We start from the raw sequence: 27,862 nt of genomic DNA on the forward strand, positions 1-27,862 counted from the left end.
TTTTGTTAAATTTGGCAGTGATTTATTGGATACGACATTTAAGGCACAGACAACCAATAAAAGATAAACTGGACTACATCGAAATTAAAAACTTTTGCGCACCAAAGGACAATCTCAAGATGAAAAGAAAACCTACAGAAAGGGAGAACACATCTGCATATCACATATCAAATAAGGGCTTAATACCCACAGTGTATAAAGAATTCCTACAACTCTCTTCCAAGCACTTGGGAGCTGAAAAAAGAAAGAAATTTTCTAAATATTAAAAACTAAAAATTTTAAATAAGAATTCCTATAACTCAACAACAAAACACAAATGACTCAATTTTAATGAGCAAAGGATTTTAAAACAAACTGGTTCAAAAAATATATAAACAACCAACAAAAACAAAAACCAATGTGCATTATTATTGGTCATTAGGGAAATGCAAATCAAAACCACAATGAAAAAGCAGTACAGAACCATTAATTGGCTATTATGAAAAAAATACGACAACCAGTATATGTGACAATGTGGAAAATAGAAACCCTTATGCATTGCTGGAGAGAATGTAAAACATTGTAGCCACTTTGTAAAGCAATATACCTGTTCCTGAAAAAGGTTTACACCAATTATTCTGTGAACCAGCAATTACACTCCTAGGGATACATATATCCAAAAGAATTGAAAGCAGGGACTCACACAGACATAGACATACCACATCCACAGCAGCCTTATTGATAGCAGTCAAATTATTACTGTGGAAACAACCCATGTTTATCAACATAAAAATGGATAAACAAAGTATGCTTTAACCATACAGTGGAAATTTATTCAGACACAAAAACAATGAGTTCCTGATACATGCTACCACATGGATAAACCTTGAAAACGTTCTAAGTGAAATAAGCCAGACATGGAAGGACACATGCATACTTCCACATATCTCTCTCTCTATGAATAGTCAAATTCACAGACAGAGAAAGTAGAATGGAGATTTTCAGTACTTTGGGATAGGATGGAATAGGTAATTACATGTATGGAACACTAAGTAGATAGAGCAAGTAGCACAGTAACACGTATAAAATGATCCCTTCCTTTGTGTATTCTAGTTTGTACCAGCACTGTAAGAGGCTTCCAGATGAGCAGTTCCAGTGGTTAATGTTGGTAGTTCAAAGGGTAACACTGCCCTCTAGGCAACATCGTGGAGGTCTATTTGAGATATATTTCACTACAAGTTATTCTCATGAATACTTCAATGAAACAGCTCTTATCAAGGCCCCCAGTGACCAAATACTTGCCAAAATCTACAGTCAACCCTTTTTCCTTGTCTTATTCAAATTCTCAGTGACCTGTGACACAGCTGACCACTCTCCCCATATTGAAATACCTTCTTCTGGAGGCTTCCAGGAGAAGAAACCCATGTTTTCCTCCTACTACTTCATTGGGTGTTGGAAACCATTATGGAGTGAGGAAGTCAATGATTTCAGGAGCTTCTCCACTATTGATGAAGTATCAGGAATATCTCAAATGCTGCAAGGGAGGTTGGTGGGGAAAACAATCTATGACATGCTTGAAGACTTTATTGAGGAACACATTGACAGGACAAGAGCACCGCCATCTTTATAACACTCCACCATCCTAAGCTTTAAGTTTCTATTTGGCCACCTGGCCAAAACTGAAAATGTCAGCCCCGCCCATAACTTCAACAGAGAATAACGGCCCTAACTGTAACAGAACAGCCAGGACTTCCCCAACCCCTCCCTAACAGAATTTTGTTTCAAAGCACACTTCTCCACTGGGCCCTTTAAAAAAGCCTCAGGCTGTAAGAGAAGTTTGCACCTGACCCTGCCGCTGGAAGCCCTTCTCAGGTTTACTCCCAATAAAACTGTCTCAACTGTTGAGCCACCTTCTCATCTCTCCTTTCCTTAATCTTTCTATCCCAACACAAATAAGAGAGCATAAATACTAACAAGGAACTCGAAGATATACTGAAATTCTCTGCAGATAATGATGATAATGATGATGCAGAAGACTTAGAAGAGGTAATATCAAAGATGTGACACTTGAAACATGTGCAGCAGTTTTTGGGGCATCTACAGCCTCTGCAAGGTGAAAAGTATTAAAGATTACAATCCTCGCAGGGCACGGTGGCTCATGCCTGTAATCTCAGCACTTTGGGAGGCCGAGGCAGGTGGATCACCTGAGGTCAGGAGTTCGAGACCAGCCTGACCAACATGGTGAAACCCCATCTCTACTAAAAATAAAAATTAGCCAGGCATGGTGGCGAGTGCCTGTAATCCCAGCTACTCTGGAGGCTGAGGCAGGAGAATCGCTTGAATCTGGGAGGTGGAGGTTGCAGTGAGTCGAGATCGCGCCACTGCACTCCAGACTGGGCAATAAGAACGAAACTCAGTCTCAAATGATAAATAAATAAATAAAAATAAAAATAAAATAAAGATTGCCATCCTCAAGTAAGATCCTTCAATGGAACAAAACCTCTGTGTCACCCAAGGGATAACATGCCAACAAACACTGCAAGGATATTTAAAGAAAAAGAACCAGCTTCCTACAACAATGTTTCTAACTAAATATCTGCAAATATGAAGACAGATCCTTCAGTGTGTACACATCTTCAGCCCTCATGCTGAACAGATTCTGACATTAGTATTATTTAGTCTCTTCCAAACTCAGCATCTGCAATCAGAACCTGGTTCATCCAACACAGATGATCATCCTGACATCCTGTCAAGATTCAAGTGAGCCTGATGTCTCACTGTTTATCTACAGTGCCACCCATCTAGTCACCTCAGTGAATCATATTAGGCACCATACTGTAATCAGCATCATCATGATCATGATCATCATCATCATCCTTGGGTTATCAAGCAAGAAGGATCAGGATTTTCATAAGTGTTAACACACGATTCCAGGTCATTAAATAAAAGCAATCTATGATTGTTGAAAAAAAAGAAACTGTAGATTACAGGCTCATGCCTGTAATCCCAGCACTTTGGGAGACCAAGGCAGGCAGATCATCTGAGGTCAGGAGTTCGAGACCAGCCTGACCAATATGATGAAACCCCGTCTCTACTAAAAATACAAAAAAAAAAAAAAAAAAAAAAAAATTAGCTGGGTGTGGTGGCATGCATCTGTAATCCCAGCTACTCAGGAGGCTAAGACAGGAGAATTGCTTGAACCCGGGAGGCAGAGGATGCAGTGAGCTGAGATTGTGCCATTGCCCTCCAGCCTGGGCAATAAGAGTGAAACTCTGTCTTAAAAAAAAAAAAAAGAAAAAAAGAAACTGTAACATTCTAGGTGACATGTACTATGTAGGCAGGCCTGTGATGGTTGGGTCTGTTCTCAACAGCACAGGATTATTTTCATATCACGATTCTCTAAAAAAAATACAATAAAATGACTGTTTACATAGCTTTTACAACACATGAGGTATTTTAGTAACCTACTTTTTATTTTTACTTTTACAAAAGCTTTGGGTTGGTGAAAAATTAAGTAATCTAGGCATGATTTATGGGATGCAGGAGGATGTGGATAGGTTACATGCAAATGTCCTTTTATAAAAGGAACACAGCATCTGTGGATTTAGGTATGCTTAGGGGGTCTGGAACCAATCCCCTGCATATGGTTAGGGGATAACCATATTCAAAAGAAACATCTTAAGGCTTTACCATGTGTTTGCATTCATGAGGCTTATCTCCTATGTGATTTCTTTCACGTTTCTGAAATGAAATAAAATTAATGAATGCTTTTCCACATTTATAGAGTATCTCTCCAGTGAGTCCTTTTATGTCTATGCAAGGAACTGAGAGAACTCAGTGCCTTCCCACATTCCTTACATTCATGCATCTTCTCTCCAGTGTGAGTTTTTTCATGTCCTCGAAGGAAACGAGAACGAGTGAAGGCTTTACCACATTGTTGACATTCATAAGATTTCTTTCCAGTGTGAATTCTTTCATGTCGCAGAAGGCAAGTGAGCCAAGAGAATGCTTTCCTGCATTCCTTACATTCATATGGCTTCTCTCCAGTGTGAATCCTTTCATGGACTTTTAAGTTACCAAAATGACTGAAGGCTTTCTTACATGTTTTACATTCATAAGGTTTTTCAGCCATGTGAGTCCTTCTATGTTGAGAAAGGTATGTGAAACAACTGAATGCTTTCCCACATTCCTTACACTCATATGGCTTCTCTCCAGTGTGAGTTGTTTCATGATTTTGAAAGGAATAGAAATCAATAAAGGCTTTCCCACATTTACATTTATAGGGTTTCTCTCCAGTGTGAGTTGTTTCATGTCTTCGAAGGGAACTAGAAATACGGAAGGCTTTACCACATTCTTTACATTCATAGGGTTTCTCACCAGTATGAGTCCTTTCATGTCCTTGAAATACACTGGGATAAATGAAGGCTTTCCCACATACCTTGCATTTGTGAGGTCCATCTCCAGTGTGCATTATCATATGACTTCGAAAGCTTGAGTGATGAGATAACGCTTTCCCACACTGCTTGCATTCATAGGGTTTCTCTCCAGTGTGAGTTCTTTCATGACTTTGCAGTGAACTAGGACAATCAAAGCCTTTCCCACATATCTTACATTTATGAGGTCCATCTCCAGTGTGCCTTATCATGTGTCTTTGAAAGCTTCCCAGATGATGAAATGCTTTCCCGCATTGCTTGCATTCATAGGGTTTCTCTCCAGTGTGAGTTCTTTCATGTATTCGAAGGGAACTGGAAACACTGAAGGCTCTTCCACATCGTTTACATTTATAGGGTTTTTCTCCAGTGTGAGTTCTTTCATGTCTTACATAGGAACTGTAATCAGGGAAGGCTTTGGAACAGTGCTTGCATTCATATGGTTTCTCCCCAGTGTGTGTTCTTTCATGTCTTAGATAGGAACTGTAAATAGGGAAGGCTTTACAACACTGCTTACATTCATACGGTTTCTCTCCAGTGTGAGTTCTTTCATGCATACGAAATAAACTAGGCCAAAAAAAGGCTTTCCCACACAACTTACATATATAAGGTCCACCTCCACGTTGTACTATTATGTGTCTTCGAAGGTTTCCCGAAGAACTGAAGGTTTTCCCACATTCCTTACAATCATAGCGTTTCTTTCCAGTGTGAGGTCTTTCCTGTGTTTGAAAGGAGTGGTGATAATTGAAGGCTGTCCCACATTGTTTATGTGTATGTGGCTTCTCTCCATATTCCTGACACTCATCTGGTTTGTGTCCAGCATCAAATGTGATATAGCAATTAAGGAATGAACAACCCATGATTTCTCCACACACACTGCTTTTACATGGATCTACTCCAGGAGGTTTTTCATTCACAGTACTATCTGGCTGGCGACTTTCACTAAATCTCTCTATGATATGACATCTGTAAAACATGAGAAGTATATTAATAAAGGTTTATTTATAAATGACTTTATGTTTATTAGTAGGTACTGGATTTACATTTTTACATCATCATGCAACGTGTAGGCTTCATGCACTGCTTGAACGTGAATGGACTGAATGTTGTACAAGATAACTCGACCCCAGCTGTTTTCTTGACAATGATAAACACATGAAATTCTTTTTTTTGAGATGGAGTCTCGCTCTGTCGCCAGGCTGGAGTGCAGTGGCATGATCTCAGCTCACTGCAACCTCCGCCTCCCAGGTTCAAGTGTTTCTCCTGCCTCAGCCGCCCGAGTAACTGGGACTACACACATGCGCCACCACGCCCAGCTAATTTTTGTATTTTTAGTAGAAACGGGGTTTCACCATGTTGGCCAGGATGGTCTCAATCTCTTGACCTTGTGATCGCTCGCCTTGGCCTCCCAAAGTGCTGGGATTACAGGCGTGAGCCACCGTGCCCAGCCGAATTCTTAATATTGTTTCTAAGGGAACTATTTTTGCAAACACTGAATAGTTATATCACATTTAAGTATATGTTTCTGGAGAAAATTGTATAGGAATAAATAAGTTTGTACTGGGCTCGTTCATTTTCTTTGCCTAGTTGTATAATTTCCTGTCATCCTAAGAATTGCTCCACAGATATATGTCTTTCTCTTGTGAGTGCAAATTACCTTAGGCTCCTCCTGGGATTTCTGTGCTGATCTTCAATGTTTGTGTCTTCCCATTTCATTCCTAAAAGGTGGACACAGAAAAAACACTGTAGATTATTATAAAATTCTAAAAACACTACAAGATTTTATGTACAATGGAATCATGCATGATTCATTCACTGAATTGTAGCTGACTCTTGAACAACATAGGTTTGTACCTCGTAAGTCCACTTATTTTATGTTTTTTAAGATGGAGTCTCGCTCTGTTGCCCAGGCTGGAGTGCAATGGTGCAATCTCGGCTCACTGCAACCTCCGCTTCCTGGGTTCAAGCCATTCTCCTGCCTCAGCCTCCCAAGTAGCTGGGACTACAGGTGTGCACCACCACACCCAGCTAATTTCTAGATTTTTAGTAGAGACGGGGTTTCAGGTGGGTTTTGAACTCCAGACCTCAGGTGATCTGCCTGCCTCGGCCTCCCAAAGTGCTGGGATTACAGGCGTGAGCCACCACACCTGGCTCACAAGTCCACTTATATATGAATTTTCTTCAGTCTCTGCTACCCCTGGGACACCAAGACCAATCCCTCCTCTTACTCAGCCTACTCAATGAGAAGACAATGAGGATGAAAACCTTTATGATGATCCATTTCAACTTAATGCACAGTAAATACAGTTTATCTTCTTTATGATTTTCTTAACATTTATTTTCTCTAGCTTACATTTTTATGAGAATATAGTATGCAATATATGTGACAGACAACATATGTGTTAATTGATTGTTTTTGTGACCAATAAGCCTGCCAGTCAACTGAAGGTTAAGTTGTAGTGAACAAAAAGTTATATGAATATGTACAACTGGTTGGGGACCCAGCACCACTTAACCCTGTGTTGTTGAAGGGTCAACTATATCCCCTTTCGGTATTTCAAATCATTCAACAGCATTGATGACCAAGAAAAAAATGTCTCTAATTGACTAAGTGAAGACATAATGTCATTTTTACCTATACAGTCCAGGTTCCTAATGGTTTCCCACATCACATCTCTGTACAGACTCTTCTGTGATGGACCCAGCAAAGCCCACTCTTCCTGGGTGAAGTTCACCGCCACATCCTCAAAGGCTACTGAATCCTGAAACACCCCACATGTACAAAGGAGTAAGGCTGAGACTGATAGTACCAAAAATTTACACCCACTTCATAAACTTTGCATACTATTATTTCTAAGCAATGATTCAATGACATGGTAAATCCACCCTTATTCTCTGTCTACAATCACTTTCTCCAACACAGCAATTCTGATGCTAGAATTGAATGTTGTTGTACACATAATAGTCAAATAGGAACAAGTCTCTTTTTGATGACTTAAATGAGTGAATTTTATTGCCGGCATCATCCCTAATGTCTACTTTATAGTGGGTCTGTATTTCCTGTCGTGACAAAGTCCTACTACTTACTGTACAAGAATAGGAGTCCTGAGATTGTATATATTTACAAATGCTGGTTAACAAAATTGGATCCTTCGTGTACTCTAGGCACTGGATTTATAGAGGGTCTCCACCAACATAACTAATAACAGGTGCTGAGTGTGCATAAACTGTTTATGGAGAAAGTATAGTATTTGCTTAACTCTTACCTTCTCTTCGGGAGCTTGGAATTTTGTTACATGCTCAGCAGTGGGAGCATAGCTGATCAGCCAATGCTAGGTTTGAATGTTTGTCCCCACCAAAATGCATGCTGAAACTTAATCCCCAATGTGACAGTAATGAAAGATGGCGCTTGAAGAGGTTATTGGGTCTTGAGGATTTGGATCTCAAGAAAATCAAGATTAATCCATTCTTGGATTAATGGCTTAAAGAATAAATGGGTAGTGACAGAGTTGGACTTATGTCCCTATGAGAAGAGAAAGAGACCTGGGCTAGACACTCAGCTCCCTCATCACATGACGCCCTGTGCCACACAGGGACTCGACAGAGTCTCCACCAGCAAGGAGGTTCTCACCAGATATCCAGCCTTGACTTTGGACTTCCCAGCCTCCAGAACCACAAAATATATACACTGTTTCATTTAAATCATCTAGCTTCAGGTATTCTGTTATAAGCAACAAAAAACACACTAAGGTAGACACAAAGAAACACTCTGGGCACTGAGTCTCTAATGAATGACATCCATAAATAACTTTTCAAAATGTTTATTGCAACATGTTACTTGGGGATTCAGCCCATCCTATGTGATTACACTAAGAGAGAACATTTAGAAGCCAGCAACAGGTTTCCTCTAGATCAAATGTAGCAAAGCAAGACAAAAGACTAATAAAAGATGCTTCACCATCCCAATGCAAGAATTTTAAACTTTTTATTAGGTAATGTCAAAGGAGAATAATGGGGACAGATTGCACATGTTCTTAGAAAGAACTCAATGTTACCTCTCATGAATATCGATAATATTCCCTAAATAGCTAAATCAGAACTTTAGTAGTCAACAAAAAAAGATATCCCCAAAACTAACAGAAGTCACAAATGTATAAAAATGCTAAAAACTTTCTCACCAACAAAGTTACGGCTTTACAAGAACAGATAAAGAATTTTTTTTTTTTTTGGAGGGGGGAGACAGAGCCTTGCTCTGTTGCCTAGGCTGGAGTGCCCTGGCACGATCTTGGCTCACTGCAGTCTCTGTCTCCCAGGCTCAAGCAATTCTCCTGCCTCAGCCTCCTGAGTAGCTGGGATTACAGGCGTGTGCCAGCACACTCAGCTAAAACATTTATGATGATTCATTTCAACTTAACGCACAGTAAATATAGTTTATCTTCATTATTTTCTTATTAACATTATTTTCTCTAGCTTACTTTACTGTGAGAATATAGTACGCAATACGTATGACAGACAATATATGTGTTAATCAATTGTTTTTGTGACCAATAAGCCTGCCAGTCAACTGAAGGTTAGCTGTGGTGAACAAAAAGTTATATGAATATGTACAGACCTCAAGATTAAATGAGAAAAAAAATACGTATTAAAGACAAAACTAGGCCAGGAGCGGTGGCTCACGCCTGTAATCCTAGCACTTTGGAAGGTTGAGGCAGGCAGATCACGAGGTCAGGAGATCGAGACCATCCTGGCTAACACAGTGAAACCCTGTCTCTAATAAAAATACAAAAAACTAGCCGGGCGTGGTGGCGGGCACCTGTAGTCCCAGCTACTCGGGAGGCTGAGGCAGGAGAATGGCGTGAACCCAAGAGGCGGAGCTTGCAGTGAGCCGAGATCGCGCCACTGCACTCCAGCCTGGGTGACAGAGCGAGACTCCATCTCAAAAAAAAAAAAAAAAGAAAGACAAAACTAGTATTTTAAACAGTAACAAGGTCTTTTTCAGATTTAATGAGAATTTTTTTTTTTTTTTGAGACGGAGTTTCGCTCTTATTACCCAGGCTGGAGTGCAATGGCACGATCTCAGCTCACCACAACCTCCGCCTCCTGGGCTCAAGCAATGCTCCTGCCTCAGCCTCCCAAGTAGCTGAGATTACAGGCGCACACCACACGCCCGGCTAATTTTTGTATTTTTAGTAGAGATGGGGTTTCACCATGTTGGTCAGGCTGGTCTTGAACTCCTGACCTCGTGATCTGCCCGCCTCAGCCTCCCAAAGTGCTGGGATTACAGGCATGAGCCACCGTGCCTGGCCGAGGATTTTCTTAAGTAAGAAAATAAAGGCCGGGCACGGTGGCTCACACCTATATTCCCAGCACTTTGAGAGGCCAAGGCAAGTGGATCTCTTGAGCCCAGCAGTTCAAGACCAGCCTGGGCAACATGGTGAAACCTGATCACTAGAAAAAATACAAAAATTTGTCCAGGAGTGGGGGTACATGCCTGTAGTCCCAGCTACCTGGGAGGCTGATGCCTGTAGTCCCAGCTACCTAGGAGGCTGAGGTGGGAGGATCACCTGAACCCAGGGAAGCAGAGGCTGCAGAGAGCCTGGATGACATCACTGTACTCTAGCCTGGGCAACAGAATGAGACCCTGTCTCCCCTCAACCTCCCAAAACAAAGAAAAGAAAGTAGATTTCAAATGAGGAGTCTTCCAAATTCAACTATATTAAAATTAGGCATAGTGGCTCACACCTTTAATTCCAGCATTTTGAGAGGCTGAGGTGGGAGGATCCCTTAAGCCCAGGAGTTTGGGGCTGCAGTGAGCTGTGATGGCGCCACTGAACTCTAGCCTGGGGTCACGGAGCAAGATTCTATCTCAAAAAAAAGTCCATCAAACTGTAGAATGAAATAAAAAGATAAACCACCATCTGGAAAGAAATACTAGCAATCCTTCCATGTGAAAACTGGTTAGTATGTACAGTATGCTTAAAAACAAAAAGAAAGGCCAGGCGCGGTGGCTCACCCCTGTAATTCTAGCACTTTGGGAGGCTGAGGAGGGCAGATCACCTGAGGTTGGGAGTTCAAAAACAGCCTGAGCAACATGGCGAAAACCTGTCTCTACTAAAAATACAAAATTAGCCGGGCATGGTGGCGGGTGCCTGTAATCCCAGCTATTCAGGAGGCTGAGGCAGGACAATCGCTTGAACCCAGGAGGCAGAGGTTGCAGTGAGCTGAGATCGCTCCATTGCACTCCAGCCTGGGCAACAAGAGTGAAACTCCGTCTCAAAAAAAAAAGAGAGAGAGAGAAACAAGGCAAGGCAATAATATCCAAATAAATTAAACATGAAAAAAGACAGAAAATTACTTCACAGAAGATGAAAGACCACAAAGAAAAAAATGCTCAACACCAATGCTAATCAGCAAAAACCAATGGAGATATATAAAACATAAATCTTTACAAGGCATAAACACACACACATACATGGTCTGAGAGCTGATCTACACCTGCTATTAGGATTTCCTCATAAATTTAAACTATCCATAATCTACAATACAACAATTTTTTCCCAATGAATAGTATCCCAATGAGTTAAAAAAGTCATGAAGTGTTAGCACTTAGGGACAAAAAAAGAATATTTTCAACAACATCATAAGGTTAACCTGAAAGAACTCAAGTCCCATGAACAGTGAAATGTGTGAGGACTTGGTGACCCACAGCCTCAGACAACAGCGTATGTCAAACAGATTGAAGCAAATAAACAAATCAAAAACCTTTTCATCGTATTTTCTCCCCTCTCCTTTCATCTCTTCATGTCTTTGGAGTCAATTAAATATTTTTCATTATTCCAATTTGTTTATTTTCTTTGCATTTTAGTTCTATTTTTTTTGCATTACATTTTAACAAGCTGCTCCTGGGAAGCAGTTCTCATACTTTATGTGCATTACAAGCATCTGGAGGACTTAACACAGATTATTGGATCCTACCCCCAGAATTTCTTTTTCTTTCTTTTTTTTTTTTTTTTTTTTTGGACAGAGTCTCGCTCTGCCGCCCAGGCTGGAGCGCAATGGTGCAATCTCGGCTCACTGCAACCTCCACCTCCTGGGTTCAAGCCATTCTCCTGCCTCAGCCTCCCAAGTAGCTGGGATTACAGGTGCCCATCACCATGCCCAGCTAATTTTGTGTATTTTTAGTAAAGACGGGGTTTCGCCATGTTGGCCAGGCTGGTCTCGAACTCCTGACTTCAGGTGATCTACCCACCTTGGCCTCCCAAAGTGCTGTGATTACAGGTGTGAGCCACCATGCCCGGCCCTACCCCCAGAATTTCTAATTCAGTAGGACTAGAGTATAATCCTGAAATGTGCATTCCTTTTTAAATTTTGATGTTGTTTGTACATATTCACGGGGTACAGGTCTAATGTTGCCACAATGATATAGTGCATTGTGGTGAATGAAGTCAGAGCCTTCGGTGCATCCATCACTGCAGCAAAGCACATGCATCCACCAAGCAACTGCCCATCATCCACCATCCTCCACCCTCCTAGAGTCTCCACTGACCATCATTCCACACTCTGCTTCCATGTTTACACATTATTTACACGTGGGAGGTATATTTGCCCACCTTTTTTTTTTTTTTTTTGAGATGGAGTTTCGCTCTGTCGCCCAGGCTGGAGTGCAATGGCGCGATCTCGGCTCACTGCATCCTCTGCCTCCTGGGTTTAAGCAATTCTCTGCCTCAGCCTCCCAAGTAGCTGGGATTACAGGCACCCACCACCATGCCTGGCTAAATTTTTTTGCATTTTTAGTAGAGACGGGGTTTCACCATCTTGGTCAGGCTGGTCTTGAACTCCTGACCTCATGATCCACCTGCCTTGGCCTCCCAAAGTGCTGGGATTACAGGCGTGAGCCACCGTGCCTAGCCTACTCACCCACTTTTAAGTGAGTACATGTGGTATTTGTCTTTCTGTGTCTGAATTGTTTTGCTTAAGATAATTGCCTCCCAATCCATCCTTGCTGTCACAAAGGACATGATTTCATTCTTTTTCATGGCTGAATAGTATCCCAATGAGTATACACACCACGTTTTATTTACCCAATCCTCCACTTAGGTCGATTCCCTTATCTTTGCTTTGTGAATAGTGCTGCAATATGCAGATAAGTGCAGGTATCTTTTTGGTGTACTGATTTCTTTTCCTTTGGATAGATACCCAGTAGCATATCTGAGACACTCAGCATAATACTGAGTGCATATTAATGGTAACATTAACTAACTGAAAACAGAAAAGAGGCAAAACTATGCTACTGGATAAATACACACTGAATCTATAATGAGCAACAAAATACAAACTCTAGGTCAGTTATGCTTCTGACCTGTAGTGTCTTACCTCACACAACTTCTGACAACAAATGTATGGCATTTGCTGAACACCAATTCTCCAACAAAAACTGGTATCCACCCCACATTAGTACAGACCCCACAAGTTGAGGGTTGAATGTCACAACCAATCAGCCACCAGGCAGATGCCAGTGGCAAGCCCCAGAGACCATCCTTTTAATCAAATGTGTATAAAACCAATGACTCCCTCTACAGGGTCAATAATGTGCCAAGCCAACCCACAGAACTCAGCAAGTCACTCTGCTTAAGGTTGTCAGTTTGTTATAAAGGATATCTCAAGAATAGCCAAAAAGAGAGAGGCACAGCAAAGGAAGGGGAGGGATTGGCAAACCTTCCCCTCTTGGCTGACATTACCCACCCAGCAAATCCAAATACATTTTTTATTATATCAAAGACCCAGATAAACTCTCAGATTCATAAACCCTTTTTCCATCAGGCAGAATCAAAAGGTGTCTTTCTCTAAATCAGCTGTGACAGACTTTTTAATTTGTACTGATTATACCAACTGAGTGAATGCAAAACCAGGCTGCTGATAATGTTGAATTTTACCCAAGGCCTGTAATTCTAGTAAATAAGTAAGATGACAGAAAATCACCTCAACTCCCCAAGCCCAGTTCTTTGTGTTCTGGACAAGCAGCCGTAAAACAAAACAAAATAAAAGCACCCTTTGCTTACATAGATTATGCCCCTCCCCCCTTCTCTAAACTATAACTCAGCCAGATAAAGAACCTCCAAATTCCCATTTTTTATCTTATGATTAGCTGAGCAGTTTTGTCTTCACTGATCATACTGAACAAAATACATCTAAAGAAAACTTTGCTTAAGTTTTTCTCCTTGCTCCAGGACCGTGAACTTTGACTCATCCTCAGCCTGAGCCAGCACAAAACCCCTCCTTCATAACCCATCTTAAGAACAGACTTAGGTTAGAGCAAAACACTCTCTGAACTAGAATCTGATTCTCGGCCCGGCGTGGTTGCTCACACCTGTAATCCCAGCACTTTGGGAGGCTGAGGCAGGCAGATCATGAGGTCAGGATATCGAGACCATCCTGGCTAACATGGTGAAACCTCATCTCTACAAAAATACAAAAAATTAGCCGGGCGTAGTGGCATGCGCCTGTAGTCTCAGCTACTCGGGAGGCTGAGGCAGGAGAATCACTTAAACCCGGGAGGTGGAGGTTGCAGTGAGCTGAGATCACGCCACTGCATTCCAACATGGGCAACAGAGCTCTCGAGACTCTCAAGAAAAAAAAAAATCTGATTCTCACCCTCCATCCTGCCCTCCCCTTCGCATCTTCCTTCTAATCTTGGTTGCTCTTCCCTTAGCAAGAAAAGAACTTTTCTGCCCAACCTTAGAGATGCCTCAGATCTTTATTTTATTTTATTTTTTTTGAGACTGAGTTTCACTCTTGTGAGCCACCGCGCCCAGCTGGGATGCCTCAGATCTTATACTTGATGCTTTCCCGTTTTGCAGTACTCCTTTAGAATGAAGTCACTTCTTAGCTAAATGCAGATTTATTTTAATTGAGAATGTCTAGCAACAGCCCCACAACAGTAACAAATACAACCTCAAACAGGGAATCACCCCAACTGCCCCAGCTTTCTAATGCTCTGTAGCTTCTTTAAGTATAAAAGGCTTCTCCCATGGCTGGAGTGATCCGGAGGCTCCCAGGAAGAACCAATTTAAGTGGGCCTTCAATAACCTCCCTTTGCAGGCTCCAGACTGGCCTCAACTGGGAGTCACCGGCCTCAGGCCTCTCCACCCCACTCACTTCCTCCCATGCCTTACATGGAAAGTTACTTGGTTTAGTTAGCATTTATTTATTTATTAGTTAGTTTAGTTAGTATATATTTATTTATAGATGAAGTCTCACTCTGTCACCCAGACTGGAGTGCAGTGGCGCGATCTCAGCTCACTGCAACCTACACTTTCCAGGTTCAAGTGATTCTCCTGCCTCAGCCTCCCAAGTAGCTGCGACTTCAGGTGTGGGCCACCACGCCCGTGGTGGTGGTGGGCGCCTGTAATCTCAGCTAATCAGGAGGCTGAGGCACGAGAATCACATAAACCTGAGAGGTGATGCTCGCAGTAAGCCAAGATTGTGCCATTGCACTCCAGTCTAGGCAACAGAGCAAGATTCCATCTCAAAAAAATAAAAAAATAAAAAATAAAGGTAGGCTGGGAGCGGTGGCTCAAGCCTGTAATCCCAGCACTTTGGGAGGCTGAGGTAGGAGGATCATTTGAGGTTGGGAGTTCAAGACCAGCCTGATCAACATGGAGAAACCCCATCTCTACTAAAAATACAAAATTAGCCGGGCATGGTGGTGCATGCCTATAATCCCAGCTACTCGGGAGGCTGAGGCAGGAGAATCGTTTGAAACTGGGAGGCAGAGGTTGCAGTGAGCCGAGATTGTGCCATTGCACTCCAGCCTGGGCAACAAGAGTGAAACTCCGTCTCAAAAAAATAAAAAATAAATAAAACTAAATAGGAAAAGCACAAGTATCTACCCATTTCAGGCAACAAATACCATTTAATTACTACTTCCATAATAATAAAGCATTTAGTAAATTAATAATATTTGAGTTCTTTAGCTGTTGGAAAGTCCTGTGCCACAGCATTTAGCATTAATCTGTCAAGTACACATAATAGGAATAGAACAGTTATCCACTGTCCTAAATTCCCCACCCTAAAAAGGAAAGAAACTAAAGTTTTGGTAAATCTTTATAATTCAATCAAATAAGTACCACATTTTCTGTTAATATGTGTTCACTTTTTCTGCAGCCATAAAGAAAGTACGACCAAACATTTTTCCTTAGTCATACTGTCACTGTTAAGCCCTGAAATTCCATTTGAATAATCAGAGAAACTTACTTGACAGACTGGGGGAAAAAAAAAGTAAATGAAGGGTTTTTTTGTTTCTACAAAAATTGGACCTCCCCCTCCCCCTCTGCCTCCCCCTCCCCCTCTCGCTGTCCCCACGGTCTCCCTCTCCCTCTCCCTCTCCCTCTCCCTCCACGGTCTCCCTCTGATGCCGAGCGGAGGCTGGACTGTAGTGCCGCCATCTCGGCTCACTGCAACCTCCCTGCTGGATTCTCCTGCTTCAGCCTGCGGAGAGCCTGGGATTGCAGGAGCACGCCACCACGCCTGACTGGTTTTCATATTTTTTTGGTGGAGACGGGGTTTCACCGTGTTGGCCGGGCTGGTCTCCAGCTCCTAACCGCGAGTGATCTGCCAGCCTCGGCCTCCCGAGGTGCAGGGATTGCAGACGGAGTCTCGTTCACTCAGTGCTCAATGTTGCCCAGGCTGGAGTGCAATGGCGTGATCTCGGCTCGCTACAACCTCCACCTCCCAGCCGCCTGCCTTGGCCTCCCAAAGTGCCGAGATTGCAGCCTCTGCCTGGCTGCCACCCCATCTGGGAAGCGAGGAGCATCTCTGCCTGGCTGCCCATCATCTGGGATGTGAGGAGCCCCTCTGCCTGGCCGCCCAGTCTGGGAAGTGAGGAGCACCTCTTCCTGGCCGTCATCCCGTCTAGGAAGTGAGGAGCATCTCTGCCCAGCTGCCCATCGTCTGAGATGTGGGGAGCGCCTCTGCCCCGCCGCCCCATCTGGGATGTGAGGAGCGCCTCTGCCCAGCGGCGACCCCGTCTGGGAACTGAGGAGTGTCTCTGCCCGACCGCCACCCCGTCTGGGAGGTAAGGAGCGTCTCTGCCCGGCCGCCCCGTCTGTGAAGTGAGGAGCCCCTCCGCCCAGCAGCCGCCCCGTCTGGGAAGTGAGGAATGTCTCCGCCCGGCAGCCGCCCCCTCCAGGAGGTGGGGGACAGCTCCCGCCCGGCCAGCCACCCCGTCCGGGAGGGAGGTGGGGGGCAGCCCCCGCCTGGCAGCCGCCCCCTCCGGGAGGTGGGGGGCGCCTCTGCCCGGCCGCCCCGTCTGGGAGGTGGGGGGCCCCTCTGCCCGGCCGCCACCCCGTCTGGGAGGTGTACCCAGCAGCTCATTGAGAGTGGGCCATGATGACGATGGCGGTTTTGTCGAGTGGAAGTGGGGGAAGTGTGGGGAAAGGAAAGAGAAATCAGATTGTTGTTGTGTCTGTGTAGAAAGAAGTAGACACGGGAGACTCCATTTTGTTCTGTACTAAGAAAAATTCTTCTGCCTTGGGAAAAAAAAAAAAAATTGGAGGCTGAGGAGGCAGATCACTTGAGGTCAGGAGTTCAAGACCAGCCTGGCCAACATAGTGAAACCCCGTCTCTACTAAAAATACAAAAAACAAAACAAAAAAAAAATTAGCCAGGTGTGGTGGTGCAGGCCTGTAATCCCAGCTACTCGGGAGGCTGAGATGGGAGGATCGTTTGAACCCAGAAGGCAGAGGTTGCAGTAAGCTGAGATCGCACAACTGCATTCCAGCCTGGGCAACAGTGCGAAGCTCCGTCTCAAAAAAAAAAAAAAAAAAAAAAGGAATAGATGGCTACATATGTGACCTGTTTTCTGAAATCTAACTATTTCTGGCCTCTATGGAAATACTTTCTCTATCAATCTCTAATCTTATAGTTAATAAAACGTTGAAGCTGAAAAGAGTGAGTATCTCTTTTCAATGTGACAACCTCAGGGATGGGCAGCACTGACTCGAACACAAACAAGTCTAACTCAGGTGTCAGGTCATCCCATCTCCTGGGACATTAGTCACCCCCATCTGCTCAGTAAAGTGCTCAGTGACCACCCACCACCACCCCAGGAGATACTTCACTGTGTGCTTTTCAGGCTCATGCACACCTGACCTGAATGGGAGGTTCTTGCACAACTGGAATGAGTGGGTTCTCCAGTGCTTACATATTGTTTTCTCTCTTCATTAGTCTGAGAGTCAGGAAGGAAGAGATCACTTCTGTCTTCTCCCCCAAATACAATCATTCAACTGGCTGACCAGCCGTGTGTCCCCAAGGAATGGAAACTGGGGTTGGGGAAGAACAAGGTGATTGTCCCAAGGGTTAGCTTTTTATAGAAATGGTATACCAGAATATTCCTCCCATCCCACCCAGGGCATCCAGCTGTTCTCTGTGAGGCCCCACCCCAACACCTCAGGCTGCTCACTGGGAGAAATGACCCAGGGACTGATATTCACTGGACCCTCCCAGAGACAGGGCAGCTGTGTGTATCTTGGGTCAACCCCAGGCAGTTCTGAAACAGAACCAGGAAAAGGCAGAGAGTGGGCTGAGAACACATCACCCCATAAAGTTTCTAAAGGGGACTTTCAATGTTGATTAGGTATCCGTACCCAGGGGAAAGAAAAGGAGAGACACAAAGGTTTTTTTGTTTGTTTTTTTGTTTTTTACAGTGCAGTGTCAGGTTATTCTCTGCTTCCTCACATGTGAAATGTTCAGGAACACAAATCTTTTAAGAAGCCGGCCGGGCGCGGTGGTCACGCCTGTAATCCCAGCACTTTGGGAGGCCGAGGCGGGCGGATCACCTGAGGTCATGAGTTCGAGATGAGCTTGGCCAACATGGTGAAACCCCGTCGCTACTAAAAATACAAAAAATTAGCCGGGTGTGGTGGTGGGTGCCTGTAATTCCAGCTACTCGGGAGGGTGAGACAGGAGAATTTCTTGAACCCGGGAGGCGGAGGTTGCGGTGAGCCGACATCGCACCATTGCACTCCAGCCTGGGCAACAAGAGCACAACTCCATCTCAAAAAAAAAAAAAAGAAAGAAAGAAAAAAAGAAGCCATCCATTGCTCTCTGAAAACAAAATGAAAATTAAAATACTGGGACTCTGAAATTTAGCACGGGTGGGGCGGAGGAGGGAGGAGTTCATGATGTTGCTGTGAACTGAGGAGGGAAAGTTAGCCTGCGTAAGGCTCTGGAAACCAAGGGAGTTACTACCACCCCTAGGAGGAGTTAGAATGAGGGAACAGGGTAGTGGATTTGAGACCCTGCTACCCCCATCTCTGAAAAACTCGAAGAGGAATCAGTCACCCTGGGAAGAAAAGAAGGGACTGGGGACCCCGCAGACCACAGCTCCTCCCGTGCACAAACCCCACGCAAGAATCTGGATTCTGATTGCAGTTAGATATTAACCAGGTACCCTGAGCCCCACTGCCTCGCGGGGGCCGCCTTCCTGAGAGTCAGGTCACAGAAGACACTGACCGCCGGCTTCTGCATTGTGCCTGGGGATAAGATCTCGGAGAGCTGCTCGAGTTGCCCAAGTTCTTTCTCAGATCTTGAATTCCAACGGAAAGGCTGGCGCCAAGCAGGGTGAAAACCCCACGAGGGAACCCACTCAGCAGGAGAATGCGGTTTCTTCACCTCCCGTCCCAGGATTCGCCTGTCACTTCCCCACCAACCAGCGACCCCACACTTCAGCCGCCCCTGTCCAGACCCCTAAACACCCCCATCCCCAAACCTCTCATGGAGGCGGAACTGGGGTCTTCTCTCCTCTCCCCCTATTAAACTGTTTCTGCTGCAGGCCTTGGAGTCTCGGTGCAGTGACTCGGACCGCGAACCTGTGCCGGTTACAGCCGCACAATCTGGGAAGACGCGGAGCTGTGGGCATGGAGCTGCCCCAGAGAGGGCGCGGGAGCCGGGGCCGCAGTTGCTGCGCAGAAACGGGACAGGACGCCCGGGGTCCCGGCTGCCGGCCCAGCCCCCAGCTCCCACCCCGCGGCCGAGGGGACTGAAGGCCGGCTGGGCCAGGGGAACTCGGGTCCACAGACCCCGCAGTCGCCGCGGGGACGCCCGGGTCCCGCCACAGCCGGTTCTGGCCGGTTCCAACCAGTCCTTCGCCCTGCCCCAGGACGCCGGGCCCCGCACACTCACCATTTCCCGGCTTCCGCGGTGTCCCGTGTTCTCCCCAAGGTTCCCCGCTGCCAGCATAGGACTCAGCGTGACAGTGCCTGCCACTGACCTGCCAGGGCTTCTCTCAGCTACAGAGCCAGGAGCGGGAGCTCAGAGGGGTGTAGAAAGCTCCACCCTCCTCCCGGCAGCGCGCCTGACTGGCAGTTCCCAAGAACTCGCCCCCAACACTGATTGGGTAGAGCTCCAAATTCCGCCCCCCCAGGGAACTGATTGACAGAAGAAGGATCTTACACGGCTGAGTGGAGCGAGATGAAGCGGTTCCAGACACAGCCCTTGATAGGGTGGGCTTCCTCCCTTCGCTGTGACCTGACCCCTCCCAGGGGACATTTGCATTTAAGCGGAATTTCCTGCCTGTACTCAATGGGCTCTTCCTGCTCCTTCTTCCTGGACGGGGACCCACAAGTGTGTGCTGGGAATTCGAGACTCACTGCCCAGTGGAGCCATCCCCTGGCCTCAGAGCGGTAGGGGAGGCCCAGGCCACACAAACCACACTGAAGCAGGAGGGAAGGCCTGGTGTCCTCCAGGGATCAGGAATTTAGGATGAGACTGCTGGCTCCATGGTCAAGCCTTTCTCCCACCTTATCTCCCAATCTACTCATTCTCAGACCAGAAAATAAAAACACATCAACAATGAAATAAAATTGTTAAATGCATGGAAAATCTGGAATTATATGGCAGTAATCTTCTATAAAGGAATCAAAAGAAGGGAAAAGAAAAAACCTGAATTAGTTCAGAGAAATTTCAGCCACAGTTCAGCAGGAAACCCCCTTTCAGGAGGTTAAACATATTTTCAAGCTTAGAAGGCAGATTCTGACTCCTGAAGTTGAGTCCCAGAGTGTGTAACCAGCAGCTTAGCAGCTGAGTCTCAAACCACGTTTTAAACCTTTTTTTTCTTCTTCTTTCCCTTTTCCTCTTTCCCCTCCTGATCTCAAGATAATAACTTCGAGATAAACTGCATAGATGTTACCTCTCATCTTAAAATACAGCCTCAGAATGTGCTGTGAACTTCCACTCCCTTTCCTTTCCCATACTACACTGCCATGCCTTATGCACATTTATTTTTATTTTATTTTTTTGGAGACGGAGTCTCACTCTGTCACCCAGGACAGACTGTAGTGGCTCAATCTTGGCTCACTGCAACCTCCGCCTCCCAAGTTGAAGCAATTCTCCTGCCTCAGCCTCCCGAGTAGCACACTGGACTACAGGTGCACGCTGCCATGCCCAGCTAATTTTTTTGTATTTTAGTAGAGACAGGGTTTCACCATGTTGCCCAGGCTGGTCGTGAACTCCTGAGCTCAGGCAATCCGCCGGCCTCGGCCTCCCAAAGTGTTAGGATTACAGGCGTGAGCCACCACGCCTGGCCTGTGCACATTTATTTACCTAAATACTTATTAAGCACACACCATGCTCTCTTATTTGGTCATATATTTCCTTAGAAGCTTCAGGGGTTGGATCTTGTTAGGTACCAGGCACCTCTGGAATTCTCTTTCCAACAAAAGATTACTTCAAAGACAGAACCCACACCCAGCTGAAGAGTGACTACTATCGGGGAAACCAGCCCCCAATATTTCAACGTAGGTTCTATTTTCCCTAAGTGTCGGCCCATCTGAGAAATTAAGAGAAAGAGTACAAAGAGAAGAATTTTACAGCTGGGCCTCCAGGGGTGACATCACATATCGGCAGGTTCCATGATGCCCACCTGGGCTGCAAAACCAGCAAGTTTTTATTAGGGATTCTAATAGGGGAGGGGGTGTACGAACAGGGAGTAAGTCACAAAGATCACATGCCTCAAAGGGCAATAAAAGATCACAAGGCAAAGGCAAAATTAGAATTACTGATGAGGGTCTGTGTCCTGCTGTGCATGCACTGTCTTGATAAACATCTTAACAGGAAACAGGGTTCGAGAGCAGACAACCAGTCTGACTAGAATTTACCAGGCTGGAACTTCCCAATCCTAGTAAGCCTGAGGGCACTGCAGGAGACCAGGGCGTATTTCAGTCCTTATCTCAACTGCATTAAGACAGATACTCGCAGAGCAGCCATCTATAGACCTACCCCCAGGAATGCATTCCTTCCCCAGGGTCTCAATTATTATTATTATATATATTTTTTTGAGACAGAGTCTCACGCTCTGTCCCCCAGGCTGGAGTGCAGTGGCACAATCTCGGCTCACTGCAACTTCTGCCTCCTGGGTTCACACTGTTCTCCTGCCTAAGCCTCCCAAGTAGCTGGGACTACAGGCGCGTGCCACCATGCCCGGCTAATTTTTTGTATTTTTAGTAGAGAAGGGGTTTCACCGTGTTAGCCAGGATGGTCTCGATCTCCTGATATTGTGATCCACCCGCCTCGGCCTCTCAAAGTGCTGGGATTACAGGCATGAGCCACCACACCTGGAAGGGTCTCAATTATTAATATTCCTTGCTGGGAAAAGAATTCAGTGATATTTCTCCTACTCACATGTCCGTCTATAGGCTCTCTGCAAGAAGAAAAATATGGCTTTATTCTGCCCAACCCCACAGGCAGTCAGACCTTATGGTTATCTTTCCTTGTTCCCAGAAAATCGCTGTTATTCTATTCTTTTTCAGGGTGCACTGATTTCATATCATTCAAATACAAATGTTTTACAAACAATTTGTACAGTTAATGCAATCATCACGGGGTCCTGAGGTGACATACATCCTTAGCTTACGAAGATAACAGGATTAAGAGATTAAAGTAAGACAGGCATAAGAAATTATAAAAGTATTAATTTTGGGAACTAATAAATGTCCATGAAATCTTCACAATTTATGTTCAGAGACTGCAGTAAAGACAGGCGTAAGAAATTATAAAAGTATTAATTTTGGAAACTGATAAATGTCCATGAAATCGTCACAATTTATGTTCTTCTGCCGTGGCTTCAGCCGGTCCCTCCATTCGGGGTCCCTTAGTTCCCGCAACAGACTACAAGATTGACTGCAACTAATGTATAACCTGGCAGGATCCACGACGGAGAAGTCCCTTCACCAAATGGGACAATAATTCAAGAGGGGCAACCAGAGCAAGTCACGCCACCTGGTACCTCTAGCCCCGCTTGCCTCTTCTGCATTCCAAACCCTTTCTTTAAAAACCCCTGGGTTCTCTCCACAAATTGAACAGTGGAATTGCTTTCTGCTCTTCCCCTGCTAGGACAGATAATAAAGAAATCTCGTTCCCTCTTATCACAACTCATTATTATTTTGACTTCTTTCCACACGCGGTGAGCAGCCAGACCCTTTTGCCAGTTACAAGTGGGATCAGCACCTGGTGATGGGGCAGAGGCACTGAAGGATTTAGGGATGAGGGAGCTCAACTTGCCCTCCTGTGTCCTCTGCGCAGTGTGAAAATGCTCTCTCCTTCAAGACTTTAAATATTAATGAATTAAATGCTCCAATCAAAAGCCAAGGCATTAGAATTTGAAAATATAAAGATTTCCCATATTTGTATGAAATACAAGTGTCACTGGTAAACTGAGTTCTTTCTCTAGTTTGTATGAGTCACAAAGAAAGAATACCTAATGGAACAAAAAAAAAAGGCAAGCAGGATTTATTTTCTGGCCAGAGAAGGAGAAGGGGTCAGAGTCAGCTCTTGCTCCGAAGATACTTCCTCCTCCTAGAGCTGTGGGAAGCTGGGTAATTTTAAGCAGCTAGATATGGGAAGGGGAAGTTTGTAATATGGGTAGAAAGGAACTTCAGATGTTCACAAATCATAAACATGTCTCTTTATACCACACATGTTCAAAAGGCCAGCCGGGTGCAGTGGCTCACGCCTGTAATCCCAGCACTTTGGGAGGCCGAGGCGGGTGGATCACCTGAGGTCGGGAGTTTGAAACCAGCCTGACCGACATGGAGAAACCCCATCTCTACTAAAAATACGAAATTAGCCAGGCATGGTGGTGCACGCCTATAATCCCAGCTACTTGGGAGGCTGAGGCAAGAGAATCGCTTGAACCCAGGAGGCAGGGGTTGCAGTGAGCACTCCAGCCTGGGCAACAAGAGCGAAACTCCATCTCAAAACAAAACAATGGGCCGGGCGCAGTGGCTTACACCTGTAATCCTAGCACTTTGGGAGGCTGAGGCAGGCGGATCACGAGGTCAGGAGATCGAGACCATCCTGGGTAACATAGTGAAACCCCGTCTCTACTAAAACAATAAAATAAAATAAAAATTAGCTGGGCGTGGTGGTGCATGCCTGTAATCCCAGCTACTCAGGAGGCTGAGGCAGGAGAATCACTTGAACCCAGGAGGCAGAAGTTGCAGTGAGCTGAGATCGTGTCACTGCACTCCAGCCTGGCGACAAAGCTAGACTCCATCTAAAAAAAAAAAAACACGACGAGAAAGCTGCCGTGACTTTCTTCTGTGGGTGGGGATTTTCATCTTACAATAAGGTATCAGTGATCTAAACCAGCAGTTCCTAACCTTTTTGGCACAGGGACTAGTTTCTTAGAAGATAATTTTTCCATGTACTGGAGTGGGGATGGTTTTGGGGTGATTCAAGTACATTACATTGATTGTGCACTTAAATATTATTACATTGTAATATATAATGATGTAATTGTACAGCTCGCCATACTATAGAATCAGTGGGAGCCCTGAGCTTGTTTTCCTGCAACTAGATGGTCCCTTCTGGGGGTGGTGGGAGACAGTGACAGATCTTCCAGAATCTCATAAGGTGCATGCAACCTGGATCCCTTGTGTGCGCAGCTCACAATAGGGTTCGTGCTCCTATGAGAATCTAATGCTGCCTCTGATATGACAGAAGGCAGAGCTCAGGTAGTAATGTGAGTGATGGGAAGTGGCTGTAAATACAGGTAAAGCTTTGCTTACTCGCCCGCTGCTCACCTTCTGCTGTGTGGCCTAGCTCCTAACAGGCCACAGTCTGGTACCGATCCATGGCCCAGGGATTGGGGATCCCTGATCTAAAGGCAACAAGGGGTCACTGGTTCTGGTTTACTCTGGTTTTGAGCAGGCCTTATCTTATTCTGATAATTGGCAAAGGGTCCTGAAGCTCCCAGGCCATCTGGAGTCCTAGTAAGCTAGCATACCTAAAGATAAACAGACTAGGAAAAAAAAATGTTATCCACTTTTTCAGAAAATAATTAGCGGCTGGGCATGGTGGCTCACGCCTGTAATCCCAGCACCTTGGCAGGCCGAGGCAGGTGAATCACGAGGTCAGGAGTTCAAGATCAGCCTGGCCAACACGGTGAGACCCCGTCTCTACTAAAAATACAAAAATTATCTGGGTGTGGTGGTGGGCGCCTGTAATCCCAGCTACTCGGGAGGCTGAGGCAGGAGAGTCGCTTCAACCCGGAAGGCGGAGGTTGCAGTGAGCCAAGACCGCACCATTGCACTCCAGCCTGGGCAACAGAGTGAGACCCCATCTCAAAAAAAAAAAAAAAGAAAGAAAAGAAAGAAAAGAAAAAGAAAATAATTAGCCATTTCAGCTGTTTTGCTTTCTCAGCTATTTTTCCAGGACTGGCCCAGTAACAAAAGTACCAGATATAAAAGCATCATGAATTGGAAGCTGGAACCCATGGCTAAAAAGAAAGAAGCCAAACATCAAGTGTAATTCAATGAAACAAAATCCTGAATCAACTTGTGATAATTGTAGTGTTTCCTGACAAGACAAATTGGCAAGTTTGAAAAACAAGAAAAAAAAGATGTCTGATTATAACTAATGAATGATATTCATGCCTTTAAAAATTACACACACATGCACACACACACTCACAATCTATTATCACAAGACTGTTCTCTCTCTGAAGAATCAACCATCTTTCTGTAAGATGCTTCATCAACCTTTCACATTAACTGCCTTTGGAGTAATATTATATACTTACTTTTTCCTAGACAGTTGTGAAAACAGGGTGCAGTGGGTCAAAGGTGGTGTCAGGGGTTTATGTTCAGATTTTGCATATTTTTACAAATTGCAGCAATTAACTAGTTCATTACTGTGTTGATTTAAATTCTTACAAAAGCTTCCAGACAAAAATAAACACTCATATAACCATGAGGAAAAAATTCAGAATAGAATGGAGTCCAGAAATAAGGCCACACACCTATGACCACCTGATCTTGGACAAAGCTGACAAAATCAAGCAATGGGGAAAAGACTTCCTATTCAATAAATGGTTATGGTTTAACTGGCTAGCCATAGGCAGAAGACTGAAGCTGGACCCCTTCCTTACACCATATACAAAAATCAACTCAGGATGGATAAAGACTTAAATGTAAAACCTCAAACTATAAACACCCTGGAAGAAAACCTAGGCAATACCATCCTGTACACAGGAACAGGCAAACATTTCATGGCAAAGACAACAAAAGCAATTGCAACAAAAGAAAACATTGACAAGTGGGATCTAATTAAATTTAAGAGCTTCTGTACAGCAAAAGGAACTATCAACAGAGTAAACAGACAACCTACAAAATAGGAAAAACATCTTCAAACTATACATCTGACAAAGGTCTAATATCTACCACCTATAAGAAACAAAGAAATTTACAAGAGAAAAACAAACACCACCATTAAAAAATAGTCAAAGGACATGAATAGACATTTTTCCAAAGAAGACATACATGCAGAGGCCGGGGGTGGAGGCTCACACCTGTAATCCCAGCACTTTGGGAGGCCAAGGTGGGCGGATTACCTGAGGTCAGGAGTTTGAGACCAGCCTGGCCAACATGGTGAAACCCCATCTCTACTAAAAATACAAAAAAATTATCCAGACATGGTGGCGGGCGCCTGTAATCCCAGCTACTTGGGAGGCTGAGGCAGGAGAATCGCTTGAACCTAGGAGGTGGAGGTTGCAGTGAGCCCAGATAGCACCACTGCACTCCAGCCTAGGTGACAAGAGCAAGACTCCATCTCCAAAAAAAAAAAGAGAAAAAAGAAATACACTTCAATCAATGCAATCATCTAGAGGAATATAAAAGACAAATTTTTATTAACTGATTTCATCAAAAAACACTACCTATTCAACTCATGAATTTATGTGTCAAGAGAACTTATTTACAGAATTCTCTCACCTTGATGTGTTTTTTTCTGAAAGTAAGATGTAGGAATCCATAGTCCAGATCCACTTTAAGCAGGAGGCACTGATAAAGACAATAGAGTTACACCTTTTATGACAATTCTTTGATGTTCCAAATTTTCTGGCACATTTTGCACGAGTGAATTTGGATGTGAGTTTTCTTTTTTTGGAGATGGAGTCTCACTCTGTCGCCCAGGATAGAGTGCAGTGGCACGATCTCAACTCACTGCTACCTCTGCCTCTGGGGTTCAAGCAATTCTTCTGCCTCAGCCTCCTGAGTAGATGGGACTATAGGCACATGCCACCATGCCCAGCTAATTTTTGTATTTTTAGTAGAGACAGGGTTTCACCATGTTGGCCAGGATGGTCTTGATCTCCTGACATCGTGATCTGCCCGCCTTGGCCTCCCAAAGTGCTGGGATTACAGGTGTCAGCCACCGCACCCAGCCGGATCTGAGTTTTCTAAATTACATTTATAGCATATCTAGCCAGTGTGAGTTATGATAAGGAATCGTCAATCTACCAAAGTTGTATTAATATGTATATCCATGGAGGTGACACTTACGTCAATTGACACTTACATCATTTCATCAGGAAACATAGACAGATGCTGCACATGAAATTAGCCCTAGGCTGGACGCAGTGAGTGGCTCACGCCTGTAATCCCAGTACTTTGGGAGGCCACAGTGGGTGGATTGCTTGAGTTAAGGAGTTGGAGACCAGCCTGGGCAACATGGCAAAACCCCGCCTTTACCAAAAACAAAAAAAAATTAGCCAGGCATGGTGGCGCACACCTATAGTCCCAGCTACTTGGGAGGCTGAGGTGGGAGGATCGCTTGAGCCCGGGAGGCAGAGGTTGCAGTGAGCTGTGATCCCCCAATTACACTCCAGCCTGGGTGACAAAGTAAGACTCTGTCTTTAAAAATAAAAGAAAGAAAGGCTTTTACCTGAGCGCAAGATGGGTCACCAGCTGTACTGGAGACACCGGTTCTCACTCTTGTCGCATCTGTTCAAACCAGCATGGTCTGATCCGGAAATATGGTCTCAATATGTGCCGCCAGTGTTTCTGTAAGTATGCGAAGGATGTAGGTTTCATTAAGTTGGACTAAATGACCTTCCTTCAAAGGGTTATCCAAAGCACCTACCCAATGAAAAACCAGGATAGTTCTTTGTATATAAAATA

The 27,862-nt window shown here is 44.6% G+C and overlaps 2 protein-coding genes and 1 pseudogene across 7 annotated transcripts in view, besides 2 other annotated features; 1 reads left to right on the forward strand and 2 right to left on the reverse strand.

Annotated features, from left to right (window-relative positions):
• Nucleotides 1-1,447, reverse strand: part of ZNF563 (zinc finger protein 563) — a 29,914-nt gene extending 28,467 nt beyond the window's left edge. The window contains exon 1 of the mRNA XM_011527700.3: nucleotides 1,371-1,447. The gene's annotated coding sequence lies outside the window, so the exon portion shown is untranslated. The remainder of the gene's footprint in view (nucleotides 1-1,370) is intronic.
• ZNF442 (zinc finger protein 442) lies at nucleotides 1-27,836 on the reverse strand. Of its 6 annotated transcripts, NM_030824.3 has the most exons (6): nucleotides 19,590-19,740; nucleotides 18,859-19,300; nucleotides 17,611-17,728; nucleotides 7,045-7,171; nucleotides 6,067-6,127; nucleotides 1-5,375 (listed from the first exon to the last, which is right to left on the reverse strand). In NM_030824.3, the coding sequence occupies exons 3-6, from the start codon at nucleotides 17,686-17,688 to the stop codon at nucleotides 3,758-3,760; spliced, it is 1,884 nt and encodes a 627-aa protein (NP_110451.1). In that variant the 5' UTR covers nucleotides 17,689-17,728; nucleotides 18,859-19,300; nucleotides 19,590-19,740; the 3' UTR covers nucleotides 1-3,757. The 6 variants fall into 6 exon arrangements, 5 of the variants coding, with proteins under 5 accessions (NP_110451.1, XP_016882806.1, XP_006722971.1 ...); XM_017027317.2 differs by lacking the exons at nucleotides 17,611-17,728; nucleotides 18,859-19,300; nucleotides 19,590-19,740 and adding exons at nucleotides 26,675-26,743; nucleotides 27,627-27,836; XM_006722908.4 differs by lacking the exons at nucleotides 17,611-17,728; nucleotides 18,859-19,300 and adding an exon at nucleotides 19,860-19,953 and having other exon boundaries at nucleotides 19,590-19,696.
• Nucleotides 19,274-19,453: a silencer, noted in NCBI's record as "silent region_10148". NCBI's record gives its function as "represses an Ori minimal core promoter by ATAC-STARR-seq in GM12878 lymphoblastoid cells {active_cell/tissue: GM12878}" and the evidence as "EXISTENCE:reporter gene assay evidence [ECO:0000049][PMID:35858748]".
• Nucleotides 19,554-19,653: an enhancer, noted in NCBI's record as "active region_14052". NCBI's record gives its function as "activates an Ori minimal core promoter by ATAC-STARR-seq in GM12878 lymphoblastoid cells {active_cell/tissue: GM12878}" and the evidence as "EXISTENCE:reporter gene assay evidence [ECO:0000049][PMID:35858748]".
• Nucleotides 27,638-27,788, forward strand: RPS29P23 (ribosomal protein S29 pseudogene 23; annotated as a pseudogene).

The sequence above is a fragment of the Homo sapiens genome, chromosome 19 (genome assembly GCF_000001405.40).
Source record: "Homo sapiens chromosome 19, GRCh38.p14 Primary Assembly".
NCBI classification, from domain to species: Eukaryota; Metazoa; Chordata; class Mammalia; order Primates; family Hominidae; genus Homo; species Homo sapiens.